The following is a 15,067-nucleotide window of genomic DNA, read 5'->3' as shown; positions in this document are numbered from 1 at the left end:
GGTATTGCTAGGTCATATAGTAACTCTGTATTTAACTTTTTGAGGAAATGCCAAACTCTTTTCCACAGCAGCTGTACCCTTTTACAATCCTATAAACAATGTATAAGGGTTAAAATGTATCTACTTCTTGCCAACACTTCCAATTTTCCATTAAGAAAAAAACTGTCGGCCGGGCGCGGTGGCTCGTGCCTGTAATCCAAGCACTTTGGGAGGCCGAGGTGGGCGGATCACAAGGTCAGCAGATGATCGAGACCATCCTGGCTAACACGGTGAAACCTCGTCTCTACTAAAAACACAAAAAATTAGCCGGCCATGGTGGCGGGCACCTGTAGTCCCAGCTACTCGGGAGGCTGAGGCAGGAGAATGGAGTGAACCCGGGAGGTGGAGCTTGCAGTGAGCCGAGATTACACCACTGCACTCTAGCCTGAGCGACGGAGTCTCGTCTGTCTCAAAAAAAAAAAAACAAAACAAAAAACAAAACCACAAACAAACAAACTAAAAAACCTGTCATCCTAGTGAGAGTAAAGAGGTACCCCACTGTGGTATTGATTTGCATTTCCCTGATGGCTAATTATGTTAAGCATTTTCTCAGGTGTTTATTGCCCGTTTTTTTTATCTTCTTTGGAAAAATGCCTATTAAAATCCTTTGTCCATTTTAAAATTAGGCCATTTGTCTTTTTATTGTTGAGTGGTAAAAATTCTTTATGTGTTATGGACAATGACCTTTACCAGATATATGGTTTGCAATTTTTTCTGTCATTCTGTGCTATATTCTTATTTCAGCAAAACAAACAAAAACTAGCAAACAATAAAACATAGAAAGGATATACCAGGAACTTTGAAAACAGCTCTTTATGAAGCATTGTTGAGAATGGAGTACAAGGCATGGACAGGGAAGGCGATGAGGCTTCTCTGACCACATCTTTTCATGTAATTTAGACTTTTGAACTATACTAACAGTTTATATATCCACAAATATATTATTCAATTAAGACACAGGAAAGTTTTCCTACAAAGAAACCAGTAAACCTAGCTATACATCAAATAGGTAATATAACAAATGGAAGAGGAAAAAAAAATTAAGGCAAGAAAGTTTAGAACTCAATATCTGACTGTAACCCTTAATGAGACATCTTCCAGGCACAAGAAGAACCAGAAGGAAATATTAAATCTCTCTTACTGAATTTGTAGTGAGCAGTAGTATCGGTATAGCAATTCCAAAAACAATTTTGTGTGAATTGTAGGATTGAATAAGTGGGTAAATACATTAATGTGATGGGGAATCAGGGTTCTTATTGTGGGAGAAGGGAGACACAAACATGGAATGGGAGGAGAGGAAGAACCCTGTGATGATGAACTGGAATTAGAGATGTCAGCGTAAACTCATGATTTAAAATACACACACACACATGCACACGCGCACATTTCTAGCCACTGAAGAGTCTGGGAGTAAGAACACCAAGGAAGTAATAAGCACACTTAGCAGCCAGATCTTGGTTCGTAAATATCATATTGCACTCAAAGGCACCAAAGCTTCTTGGAGCAATGGCTGATTCCAGGGCTGGGGCAGGAAAAATACAGGTGAGCCTGGAGCAGCTTGTTGTGCTAGAAAGTGAGACACACTCAAAGACAGAGGAGAACATCCGGAAAAGATAGAGGAGATACTCTGAAACCATGCCCAGCAGCCAAATCTGAAACAATGTTAACACCTAAATGAGTAACGGGATATTATAACATATTCAATTAACACAAAGAACAAGAGTCCCTTCCTAAAAAAAGGAATGGAAATGTGAAGAAGGAAAAGGAGTTCCTTACAGAAGAAGACTAACCTAATAAACACACAAAGGATGGTAGAAGTTAGGACACAAACATCGTGGTAATAGTTGACTGAGGCAAGAGTCACCCGTGAGTGAGTAAAGAGTGTTAAGAAACAGAATAGTCCCATAGTTTCAAGGTATTACCACACAGATTATTGATAACTCACAAAGGAAAAATGCACCTTTCCCTTTGGACAAACCTGTTGGTCCCCATTTAGCTTAATAATCACACTCAAAATAATCAATAATGGGACAAGTTGACATCAGGTGGCCTCTGATGTGGTGCACTGACAAGGACATGGGGTCATTACGATAGTTAACTTGGCTCATACCTGTAATCCCAGCACTTTGGGAGGCCAAGGCAGGCAGATTACAAGGTCAAGAGATCGAGACCATCCTGGCTAGCACGGTGAAACCCCGTCTCTATTAAAAAAACAAAAAATTAACCGGGCGTGGTGGCACATGCCTGTAGTCCCAGCTACTCGGGAGGCTGAGGCAGGAGAATCGCTTGAACCCGGGAGGCGGAGGTTGCAGTGAGCTGAGATCGTGCCACCACACTCCAGCTTGGTGACAGAGCAAGACTCTGTCGGGAAAAAAAAAGAAAAAAGAAAAAAAAAGACAGTTAACTTGAATCTGACAAAGAATACACAGTCAGCCAAATTCAAGACTGAAGGACATTCTGCCAAACAACTGGTCTGGAGTTTTCAAAGATGTCAATGTTGAGAAAAAATGAAAGGCCAGGGAACGATTAGATTATGGGTAAGGAGATGTTTTTACTAAAGACAGTAAATAATCCTTAATTGGACGCTAGAATTGAAAAAGAAAAGCCATAAAGGTCTTTTTTTTTGCTACAATTAGGCACATTTGAATTTGAATGATATATTAGATAACAGAACTACACATAAATCAATGCGAAATTTTCAAGAGCAATGATTTTATGGTGGTTATGTTGAAGATCGCTGGAGTATTAGGGAGGAATGTCTGCAACAAATCTGCAAATGTGTCAGTCTAAAACGAGTGTGTGACAGAGCATGCAAAGAGGGAAAGAGGGGAGGGAAATGGAGAGGGGGAGAGAGGGGACTCGAAGCGGCCAAATGCTCATGGTGGGTGAATCTAGGTGAAGGGTGTCAGGTATTCAGTTAATTCACCTTACATTTCTGCAGGTTGAAATCTTCCAAAATAAAGGTGGGAGAAAAAGAGAGGGAGGGTAAATAAAGCTATTTCCAGCCTTCCAGTGGGAAATGATTTCTGAAGGAGAAATTCTATAAGGATATGAAGCCAAGAAGGATGGGCAGGACGAGAGAAGCAATGATGAGTTAAACACACTGGAAAGGCTAAATCAGCACCAAACAGGAAAAAATGACGTTGTGTTGTTATTATAACCAACCTGGGGATGAAAAACCAGATAAAACCTAAACAGCGGACCACAAAACATGAACGATGCAAGAGAAATTGAAGCCTGTTCAGGCAGAACATGTTGGTAAATTTTAGACTCTGTTCAATTACGCGTGTTAAATATTTGAGGGGAACCACTTTAAAGGTGAAAATATTTATGTAAATTTTAAAAATATACAAATGCTATTCCAGAGAATTATGGGGATGAAAATATGTAATAAAATATAAAGACACAGATTAGAAGGAGTAGCACCAACTTCAGGTTCATGGTTTCTTCAGCAAAGAGGAAACTGGGAGGAGGGTTAGGTTTTTTTGTAAAACTGCTTTCTCTTTAAAATGTTCGTATTTGTTAAATGTTAGTGTCATACACTGGTATCCGATTACAGCTTTCCACATGGCTGAAATATTTCACAGTTAGAATTTTTAAAAATTCATTCAAATGCTTTAAAATGCATGCGGTCAAGGGAATGTGTGAGGTAAGAACTGTGATTTCCACACAATGCCTGCAGCAGAGCTGTGTGCCAGGTCCGGGAAGCAGGGACAAAGCACTTCTCAGTGTGCCTGGGGTGGCAGGGGCCTGGTAACGCCCCCTATAGAGGAGTGTCAGCCTTCAGGGATGCGTGGAGATATCTGAGGGTGGGCAAGGACATCTGGGGAGAGAGATGCAGCATGGCCCACATGCTGATGGCCGACAGAGGAGGTGCTTCCACGGGGCTGCGTGGCAGGCGTGCCTGTGGAGCTGGTGCAGCTTGGACCTGGCTGAGCAGGCCTGGGAGGGAGGAGGAACCTGTCCACTGCTCAGGAGGTCAAGGCAGTGTGCCACCTCGGGAGGGCCCACTCTGCACCCGGGGACAGCTGAGGACTTTCTGAGCCTTTTCTCATTAGTCTTCCCACCAATGCTGTAGGGCAGCCACACTGCTCCCCCTTCCTAGACAAGGAAGCTGATGCCGAGAGAAAATGAGTGATTATCCTGTAAGTTGCATCTCACGTGGTAGACATAGGATTTAAATGGGCCTTTTGGCTACAAAGTTCTGCTCTCAAACAGACTTTAGCCTGTAGATGATGGGGAGATATGAAAGAACTCCAAGCCAAGGAGGGGCAAGGACAGATGTGTCATGGAAAAAGTGGAAGTGTTAAAGCGCAATATTTCTGTAGGGAGACTGAGGGTGATACATACTCATATATTAAGAAGAGCATGGAGGTTCCTCAACAGCAGATCAGGGAGGGTGAACAACTTTGCTTTCCAAAGACAATTCTCACACATTGTTTCACTTAAAGTCACCAGTAAGACTGACAGGATCACAGGAAATATGATATTTTAGTAAATTTCTCATGACTTAAATGGAAACCAAAAGGAGGCCTAAAATTGAGCTGATACGATAATAAAATGAGGTAGATATGGACTGTTTCACCTTACTATAGAATTGGGAAACCATTAACTTAGAATTTATGATAATTTGTTTACAAATTAGGCTAAAAATACATTTATTTAAAGGTAAAATATTTCCTTAAACTGATTAACAACATAAGATGTTACAGATGAATTTAGCCTAGTAAAGAATGAACTTCTTGGCACTTAAAAATGAAACAATCACCATCTATTTATTAAAACACGTTCCCAACGAGCTCTAATTACTAAGACTTAGTTTGGCAATCAAGGATGACACAAGGGGCGTGACATAATAAAACCAAAATTCTATTAATAAGTTAGTAATTCAAACTTTTTGTTAATTCGGATGACTCATTTTCATCAGTGAGAATTCCTGAGATGCTGCTCTTTTGTTGCAGTTATTTCCTTAAGGACAACAGGATGTAAAACACAAAAGACAAATGATAAAATTGGAAAAATATTTGCAATGTACCGAGTCTAAAACCAATCAGAAAAGGGCAAAGTGCATGAAAAGTGAGTAATTTTCATTGTTCCATTTTAATGATGACTTGTATTTATCATTTTCTGTATATCACTGTAAAGTTTAAAAAAGCTAGTTAGAATCTTTGGGAAAAGAGGTCTGAATGGCATCATGATGTGACATTGTACCGGACAGCAGGCTTGTCCCATGTCTGCGCTTTTTGCTCTAGTGGTTCTGTAACCTAGAAAATCTTTGCACCTGTTGGAAACCCCAACTGTGCCCGACTCTCAGGTTTCAGGTCAACTGTCGGCCCTACAATGAAGACTTTCCAGATTCTCCCTAACCAAAAATAACCTCTGTCACTGAGTAATTAAAGCACCGTATCTGCACTTCTGTTCTTCTATTCAGGCCACTTCAACTCAGGTTACATTCATGGATGTTCACATCTTCTCTCTGCCCCTGGAATATGAGTTGCTTCATGCTAATACCGTAGCACCTCAGTCATGTTGATTGGGGTGTGTGTGCACACGGCGGCTTCCTGGGTCAGTGTACTGTGCACACATGGAAGGAAAGGAGGGCAAGAAATGGAATAAGAGCAGAAAAGGAAAGGAGAAGAAAAGAGTGAGAGAAAAGAAAGAGCAAAGAGAAGAGTAAAAGATGAGAGAAAAGATAAGAAAAGGGAAATTTAAGAAAAGAAAAAAGGAAAGGAATATGGAAAGAAAGGGGATTTGATCAAAGTTCCCAAATTAACTATAACCATTTATTTCATCTTCTTCCCATTATAACACACACACACACACACACAGCTGTAAAAACAAGTTGAACTACATGGTGAGATGACTATCATTGCATTTAAATAATTTTAACAAAGTTGTTGAACATTAAGAAGAACGTGGCAAATGGGAGCACTGTTCATAACAGCCACAAGGGGGAGCAGCCCAAGTGTCCGTCACATGAAAGGAAAGACATAATATGGTCTATACATATAAGGTCATATTATTTTACCTTAAAAAAGAAGGAAATTCCAACACATACTACAATATGGATAGCCTCAAAGACATTATGCTGAGATAAGTCACACACAAAAGGGCAGACACTGTGTGTCTCCACTTATATGAGGCCTCTAGAGTAGTAGAATTCAAGGAGACAGGAAGTACAATGGTGGGTGCCAGGGGCTGGGGAAGGGGAGAATGAGAATCATTGTTTGATGGGGAAAGAGCTTCCAGTTGAGCAAGCTGGAAATGTTCTGGAAATGCATGATGGTGATGAGTGTGCAGAAATGTTAATGTGCATAATACTTCTTACTGAACGGGAGACTTAAAATGGAGAAGATGCTAAATTTTATGTTATGTATTGATATGGTTTGGCTCTGGTCCCCTCCCAAATGTCATCTCAAGTTGTAATCCCCATGTGTTGTGGCAGTGGCCTAGTGGGAGGTGATTGAATTAAGGGGTGAATTTCCCTCTTGCTGCTTTCATGATAGAATTCTCACGAAATCTGGTTGTTTGGTAAGTGTGCAGTTCTTCCCCTCTGCTCTCTCTCTCCTGATGCCATGTAAGACATGCCTTCTTCCCCTTCACCCTTCTGCCATGATTGTAACTTTCCTGAGGCCTCCCCAGCCATGCAGGACTGTGAGTCAATTCTACCTCTTCTCTTTATAAATTACCCAGTCTCAGGTAGTTATTTATAGCAGTGTGAAAACAAACTAATACATGTATATTTTGCTACAATTAAGTTTTTTTAAGTAGGTGAAGAGGACTTTTGCTTTCAGCCATGATACAGTAACAGGAATCAGATTTATTCCCCCACCTTAAACAGCTTGAAAACCAGACAAAATATGTGAAGCAGCGATTTCTGACACTGGACCACCGGCAGCACGGGACAGTGATTCCTGGGTGAAGGAAAACAAAAGAGTGTCCAGCTCGCTGCCTTGAAAGAGTTCCCAATCCAGGCTGAGGGAAGCCAGACAGATCCCAGTGGGCTTGCTGAGTTAACAAGCCAGAGTTTAGAGTCTGCGGAGGCCCAGGAGGCTAAAGCTAGTGGAGAAAAATGCCACAGAAGAGGCAGCTGTGGCAGACAGAGCTTCAGGGTCTTTTGCTGAGTGTTGATCTGTGCATACAGGTAAGGAAACTACCAAGGCCAGGAAATAACAGGAGGAGGCAACATAATCCTGACAGCCCACACAAGGCCAGGAAGAGGGTGTGCTCCTACCAGCGCTCATGCATAGGGCACTGGGTGGAATTTAAACCATCAGGCCAGCACTTCAAGAAGTATTAAGGACATGCCTTCAGGGAGAAGGAAGATGCCAAACCAAAAGCTGAATGTACACAGGGGATAAAGAACAGCAGAAATGGTCAATATGTGAGTAAATATATAAACATTTCGTTTTTCATTTTTTAAAATGTCTTTAAAACTTAGAAAATCAGTAAACAGAAGACTTGAACGGGACTATCAACCAGCTTGACCTAATTGATATTTACAGAACACTCCACCCAACAACAGCAAAATACAAATTCTTTTTAAGTGCACACAGAACATATGCCAAGATATTCTGGGCCATAAAACAAATCTCAATAAATTTAAAAGGATTGAAATCATGCAGAGTATGTTTTCTGGCCACCGCAGAATTAAATCAGAAATCAGTAACAGAAAGTTATCTGGAAAATCGCCAAAGAGTTAGAACTTAACAACACACTTATAAATAATCCATGGGTGAAAGGAGAAAATGCAAAGGGAATTAGAAGATATTTTGTCATGAAAGAAAATGAAGACCCAACATAAAAATGGGGAGATGAGCCTAAAGCAGTGCCTGGGGATACTGATGGCATCAAGCACTTACACTAGAAAAGAAGAAAGGTCTGACTTCAGGGATCTAAGTATCCACTTTACGCAACTTGAAAAGAAGAGGAAGAAGAAGAAGCCTCAGGACAGCGGAGTGGAAAGAGAAAGGGGGCATGGGTCCTTCCGTGAGTTGCTTCTTGTCTTCCTCATCACTGCTTCGTGGTCACGAGATGGCTACACTGTCTCCAGCTTTACATCCATGTTCCAGAAGAAGGGATAGTGGTCAAATGTGGCTAGCCACATTTCCCCCTTTTTATTCTAAACAGAAAACATCCTTGGAAGCCCTACTTAGCAGACGTCCACTACATGTTGATTGGCTAGAGCTTTGATACATGGATGTCTGGCTGGAAGTGACTAGGGAATGGGCCCTGAGGCAGCCAGACTCTAATGTGTTTCTATAAAGATGAAAGCACCAATAAGCTATGAATGGTCATACAAAAGTAAGGGTTTAACATCCTCAGGCTCCAATAAATAAATATAAGAATGATTTATTACAGTGATGATGAGATGACTCTATGGGTACCAAGCCCCTTAATTACTACTTATGATTTCTTTCTTGAACTGCAATGATATCCTCCATGCCTGGTGAATATTTTGTGCTATTCTTCTTACCCTATAATAGAAACTTTTACCATATTGAGTAAAAGCAACAATATTTTTAGAGGAATGAATCAGTAAAATGTACATTAGAGACACGCTGGTAATCAAGAGTTAGGAAATGAGAGTCTTGGCAGGGCTCAGTGGCTCACACCTGTAATCCCAGCACTTCAGGAGGCCAAAGCAGGCAGATCACCTGAGGTCAGGAGTTGGCCGACATGGTGAAACCCCTTCTCTACTAAAAGACACAAAAAATTAGCCAGGCATGGTGGCACGTGCCACCAGCTACTCGGGAGGCTGAAGTACAAATCGCTTAAACTTGGGAGGCAGAGGTTGCAGTGAACCGAGATTGCATCACTGCACTCCAACCGGGGGGACAGAGTGAGACTCCGTCTCAAAAAAAAAAAAAAAAAAGAAAAAATAGTATTACTCTGCTTTAGTTTCAATACACACCTGGTGTATAGTGAAGCACATGTATCTTCTGTGGATCTGATGCCCTGATGTTGTAGCTCTCCAGGAATATGCACTGGGCGAGACCCCGGAGCATCTCTGGGCTGCAAACTGAGGCTCAGGGTTCCTTTCAGTGGCTGGACCCAGCTGGTGAGCTTCTTCCTGAACCTGCAAAGCCTAGAGGCTTTCTAAGAAGGAAAGCCCACTCCCCCACCACCCCCGGAGCCTGGCACCAAGGCCCTGCAGAGGCTGTCAGGAGCTTCCAGTACAGGCATGGATCTCACAGCTTCACTCAAACATTGTAGTCGCCAGACCTCCTGGCTCAGGTTGTTGCAGCCTCCAGTCGAGAAGGCAAAAGGGGAAGCTGTTAAATTTAGCAGGAGCCATGCACATTTTAAAACTGTTCTTAAGTTACAGGGAGAAGTAAATTAAATTTTGTGAAAGCTTTGACTTTTAATACCATCGGTAGTACATTAAAATGTTCTGAAGATTATTTATGATATATATATTTTAAAACTGGTCCAACTGCAACGATGGAAATGCATGAAAAGCTTCAAGCATGAAGTACTTAAAACACTCCTTGCCATATTTAGAATGGGGAATCTCGGGAGACATTGCTTACAAAACTTCCCATGTCTTTAGGTGACTGTATTCTCGTATCTTATACATCTCTGCAGTGCCTGGCCATTGGGAAACCAGCAGGGACATCACAGGCAGTTCAGATGAACTTCTAATTCCAGTGTAAACCTGTAAAATCCTTAATACTGGAAAATCAGTTAGACAATAAATATTCCAAGTGGCAAGTGGGTGGCCCAGGAGCCAGGGTCAGATAAGGTGAGGGTGGGGGCAGGTGACTGGGATCACGAAATCACCATCACCTGGAGAAGGCAGGGTAAGATGTGGAGAAGAGACAGATGTGGGACCCTGGGCAGATCCTGAATGTCTGTGGAGACATCTAGAATGCCATCGTGGCTGGGATAATGAACTCGAATGCCCTCACTGTTTCTTTATCTCTTAACCAGAGCTCCTGAAGGAGATTCTCAAGAGGACAGCTAGACGGGGGAGGATTGCAGAAAGCTTGACATCTACAGAATGCTGGAGAAATGTGAGGTTGCTTACCCTGAAGAAATACGGGATGACCCAGAAGGTATGGAAAGCAGGCTCAGGTACCTGAGGAGCTGCCAACTGAAATAATAACAGCTACTTGAGTTTGCATGCACCGGCTCATTTATCCCCACAACAAAACTATGAAGTTGATATTATCAGTAGCTCATTTACAGATAAGCATAGCAAGCCAACCGCGGGGGCATTAAGGATCCTCCCCCCGGCCATCCTGACCAGGAGCAGACAGTGCGATTCAGACCCAGGTGGGATGACCCCCGTGCCCATATTCCTAATCACTGTTTTGCTGCCCCAGGCAGAGGCAGAACCGGGGCCGGAGTTCACTGGTTAAGGGATCAGATTTTGACTCAACACAACAAAAAATTTCCTAGCAAAAGGCACTGTATAAAATAATTATCCTACCCACAGCCCTGAGAGTTAGATGCTGTGATGTTCACTTCACAGATGAGGAAACAGAGTCAGAGGGTATATGATGGACCCACACCTGGTAAACGGCTGCCTGGGCTTCCCGCTCAAATTGGCCTGATTCCTAAACTCATGCTCCTTCTACTGCAGCTCGGCCTCCTGGGAAGGCAGCCTGTTCCCTGCCATGTGAAGTGCGCTGGCAGAGATCAGAACGGCATCCTCGAAAGCAACCCACGATTCTGCTTAACTCTTGGTTAATATTGAAGAGGAACTTGAGATCCACAGAGGGAAAGTGGCTTGCTGCAGGGATACGGGTAAGAGGAACTCAGCTTTCCGGACTGCCTCCCAGGTTCTTTCGGCTGCACTGAGCTGGCTGCATAGCTGGATGTCCACCTGGACTGGAGGGCCTCCGGTCTCAGGGTTCATTGTCACACTGTCACACCTGTGCTTCTGCCTTGATAGAAATGCAATATGGCTGTTCTTGATTTGAGGCATGGTGACTCTCTCCTGGGTTTCTTTTTGGAATCTATGCCTGTGAGAGACTGTATCACTTGTTCAAAATGATTTGTCTCTGCCCTCTCCTCATCGTGACTTGCCAGGAGGTGAAGGGTACAGGCTCACCCCATTAACCTTGGGCTTGCCATATGACTTGTGGGAGGAGGGGACGGCTGCCAGGTCCCAGCAGAGGCTTTATGAGATCCTGGGGGTTCCCGCTTCCCCTCCGGAGCTCCTGCCCTCCAGCATGAGAAGAGCAGGGCCCAGATGGCAGCTGCTCATTCAGCCTCAGCCTGGCATGAGGAGACGTGGAGAACACAGCCAAGCTCGGCAGAGCTGCAGCTGACTCGCAGGATTCTTAAGTGAAAAATAAGTGTTTGTTGTTGGAAGCCATGGAGATTTGAGAATTGCTAGTTACTGCAGCAAAAGCTAATACAGAAATTGGTACACAGAAGTAGGGCTGCCATTACAAAAACCTGAAATATGGGTCATTGGTTTTGGGTTTAGGTGATGGCAAGCTGGAAAGTTGTTAAAGGAAGTTGGAAAAATGGCAACCCAAGATATGCAGTGTTAAAACACCCGGCAAAAAAAGAAAAAGAAAAAAGAAATAACCTATGATAACTTAGAAAATTGGCCTAACTAAACTTGTTTTCAAAACAGAATCTTGCCTGTGTGAACTGGTGTTATAGAATGCCTTTGACACCGTGCTATAAGGAAAAAAAAATGCACCTTGCCTCCTCCCAAAAAACTCACTGCTTTGCAAATACAATTGAAAGGGAAGAGAGAAAATACAACATTTTCAGGATTTTAAAGTGAAGCAATTTCTCACCAAATTAAGGTTGGCCGTGAAAGCACAGCCTACGGGTAAAGACCAAATCAAAGATGCAATCATTGGCTCTTGCGCCGAAACCTTTAGTTGGATTATCAAGGTCCCCAATGAAATCTTTCAACTGCACAAAATGGCCTAGAGAAAGAGACCCAGAATTTGGCCTGTTGGAAGCATGATGTGCTCAGTGTACTTGGAATTGAGTTTAGAGAAAGGAGGACATGCACGAAAAATGACTGTAGGCACACGGGGTTGACCGGAATCAAAGAGATTAAAAACAAACAGGACAGCTTCAAAAGGGACAAATCGATAACTACACTTTCGGCTGGATTAACATAGACCGTGGCATTTGAGATCTAAAACGATCCTCGGCATTCATCCTTCCTATGGGCAGGAAGCAGGTTAAGAAATCTGCTCAGCCATGAAGGAGAGCATGTCTTCCAGCACCTTCCTCAGAGGTAGCCATGGAGGATGACAGAAGAGTGCACCTGGCAGAGGGCAGATTCAGAGCCACGAAAACCACGGCCTGGAAAGTCCTCCCCGGGAGCACGACTGAGGCCCAATCGACACCCCCTACTCCCAGCCTACGGGTCCTTGAAATATTTGCCCAGCAGGACACTAGGACTGCTGTGGACTGTGGGGCCTCCCCCATCCTCTTTCCCAGTGGAAGTACCACTGGGCTTATCCTGTCTTTGAGTCTCTACTGTGTTTCCAGTTCTATTCCGGTGCTTGAAGGATGTGCTCTAGACAGTGATGGCTCCACCAGAGCCTGGGTCCCAAAATGTAAAACACATAGAGCCCAGCTAAGGTTAGGCTGGCCTGGTTGGGCCCAGTGAAGCCACAGCCAACTGGTAGACCCATAGTGAAAAATAAATGGTGTTTTGAGATGGATTCTAGCTATATCACCCAGGCTGGAGTGCTTTCGGCTCACTGCAACCTCCCCCTCCTGGGTTCAAGCGATTCTCCTGCCTCAACCTCCCAAGTAAGTGGGACTACAGGCACCCACCACAACACCTGGCTAATTTTTGTATTTTTAGTAGAGACAGGGTTTCACCATGTTGCCCAGGCTCGTCTCGAACTCCTGACCTCAGGTGATCCGACTGCCTCAGCCTCCCAAAGTGCTGGGATTACAGGCACGAGCTACCACACCCGCTACTTTTTTTTTTTTTTAACCACAGCAAAAACAAATACAATATCCCAGCACAATAACCACAGGCCCAATGTTACCCATAGAGACTCAAGTGTTATCTTTTCTTATAATTGCATACAGCAGCTTGGTTCAACGTGTGCATAGTCCATGTTACACATGCAACTTTAATTTTTCTGACAGCCATGTTGAATAAAGTACAAAGAAAAAGGTAAAAAACAAGCTTAATGATGTTGTTTATCTCACCCAACACATCTACAATTTCAACATGCAATCAACATAAAAACATAAATGTGAGATCATTGACATTTTTCCCGGCACAAAGTCTTCGCAATCTGCTGTGTATTTCACACATAGCACGTATCAATTTGGATTGTACCACATTGTAAGTGCTCAACAACTCCATGTGGCTAGCGCCTACCATGCAGTGCAGGTCTGCAGAGTAATTCTCTAGACTAGAAAGGCCACAGGTGAAAAGAGCACTGTATCTGGAATCAAGAGGACAGAGTTCTAGTCCCTGCTCAGCTACCAACTGTCTGCAGGACTCTGAGCTAGGGCCATGTCTGAAATCCATCTGTAAAATGAGGGACAGACGGTCTCCCAAGGCTCTGTCTGATTTGAGCATTTAGGAAATGTTGAGCCAATACTGACCACTGAACCAGTCAGAGGTTCTTGGTTGCAAATGATAGAAACCAATCAGGTTAACTTACACAAAAGTGAGGAGGAGGAGCGGGGAGTTTCCTGGAAGGTTCTCAAGAGTTCACAAAAGCTGGAAGAGGTTGACTGGCCTTGGAAGACAGACCAGCAGGAGACTAGTTACCTCTGAAACACAACCTCCGCCTTCTAGTAAGAATCATATAGGCCAGGCACGATGGCTCATGCCTGTAATCCCAGCACTTTGGGAGGTCGAGGAGGGTGGATCACGAGGTCAGGAGATTGAGACCATCCTGGCTAACACGATGAAACCCTGTCTCTACTAAAAATACAAAAAAATTAGCCAGGCGAGGTGGCGGGCACCTGTAGTCCCAGCTACTTGGGAGGCTGAGGCAGGAGAATGGCATGAAGCCGGGAGGCAGAGCTTGCAGTGAGCTGAGATCGCTCCTCTGCACTCCAGCCTGGGTGGCAGAGCAAGACACCATCCCTAAAAAAAAAAAGAATCATCTAGCCAGAATGCCACTGGTACCACTGTAGGGCATGCCACCTCTGGACACCACCACGGTAGATTCCAATGCAGCTACAGCTGCCATGAAGGAACTCGACCCTCTTTTTGTCTTTCTGCCACCTGCACTTCATTCACTGTCCTGGGAGAGCCCAACTGTAGGCCTGACTCTGGGATGCCAGGGGCCAGGACAGGGAGAATGGCCTCCTCTCACGATGTGCTGCCAGCTTCACCAATGTGAGTGCCTTTGGACACAGGAGTCTATCTGAGTATAAAGAAGTATTAGGAATCCAATTAAATAGTGTGATGGCCTCAAGGATCTTAATATTTGATTGAATCTCAGAGGCATTGATTAGATATCACTTTCAGTCTCAATTTTTATCAGCCTTAAGAGTGCTAAGAGCTGCTACTGGGTTTTTGAGCTTCAAGGTCCCAGAGGAAGCAAGAGCCACGGTTGATTATGTCAGGATCCTTGAAACATTATCAAGGAATATCAACACATCTAGTTAAAAACTCAATAGCAACAAAATTATGCTATTCCTAGATCTCCACTTTTAAAATAATAAAGAGCCATAGTTCCTTTTTAACACTCTTGCAATTTTTAGACACATAGATTAACTTCTAGTAAAATGAAACATTAAAATAACATATAGCATAACATATAGAATACGAGAATGAGTCAAAAGATGTGAAAACCTTGCGAAATCTGCACCAATAACTTAATATGTGCATTGGCTTCTCACAATATGTCTGAATTTTTTCTCCCAGGATTTTTTGTACCTCTGAACAATGTTAAAAATGAAATCTCCTTCTCCACCAATACTTTTAACCTAAATTAGATCTGTACTAAATTATAAGATCCTATTCTTGTATAATTTATCAAAGTCACTCCTGTTGTGGTGATATTGCTATTGTTCTGTGATGATATACTGTAGAAAATGCCATTATCAAGGAATTACATTC

General features: G+C 43.2%; 1 protein-coding gene across 5 annotated transcripts in view; it reads right to left on the bottom strand.

The window, feature by feature from the left end:
• Window positions 1–15,067, bottom strand: part of SDK1 (sidekick cell adhesion molecule 1) — a 967,749-nt gene that overhangs the window by 365,388 nt on the left and 587,294 nt on the right. For 2 of the 5 annotated variants that reach the window (XM_024446683.2, XM_024446684.2), the window contains exon 1: window positions 8,954–12,320. The exons of 1 other annotated variant lie outside the window; for it this stretch is intronic. In XM_024446683.2, the coding sequence (XP_024302451.1) occupies window positions 8,954–9,047 (94 nt within the window). In that variant the 5' untranslated portion in view covers window positions 9,048–12,320. Of the gene's footprint in view, window positions 1–8,953; window positions 12,738–15,067 lie in introns of those variants that run through there. 2 more of the 5 variants (XM_047420038.1, XM_047420037.1) reach the window with 2 other exon arrangements.

Source organism: Homo sapiens, chromosome 7 (genome assembly GCF_000001405.40).
Source record: "Homo sapiens chromosome 7, GRCh38.p14 Primary Assembly".
NCBI lineage: Eukaryota > Metazoa > Chordata > Mammalia > Primates > Hominidae > Homo > Homo sapiens.
Note: the sequence above shows the minus strand (reverse complement) of the source record. Positions and strands in the feature narration are given on the sequence as shown.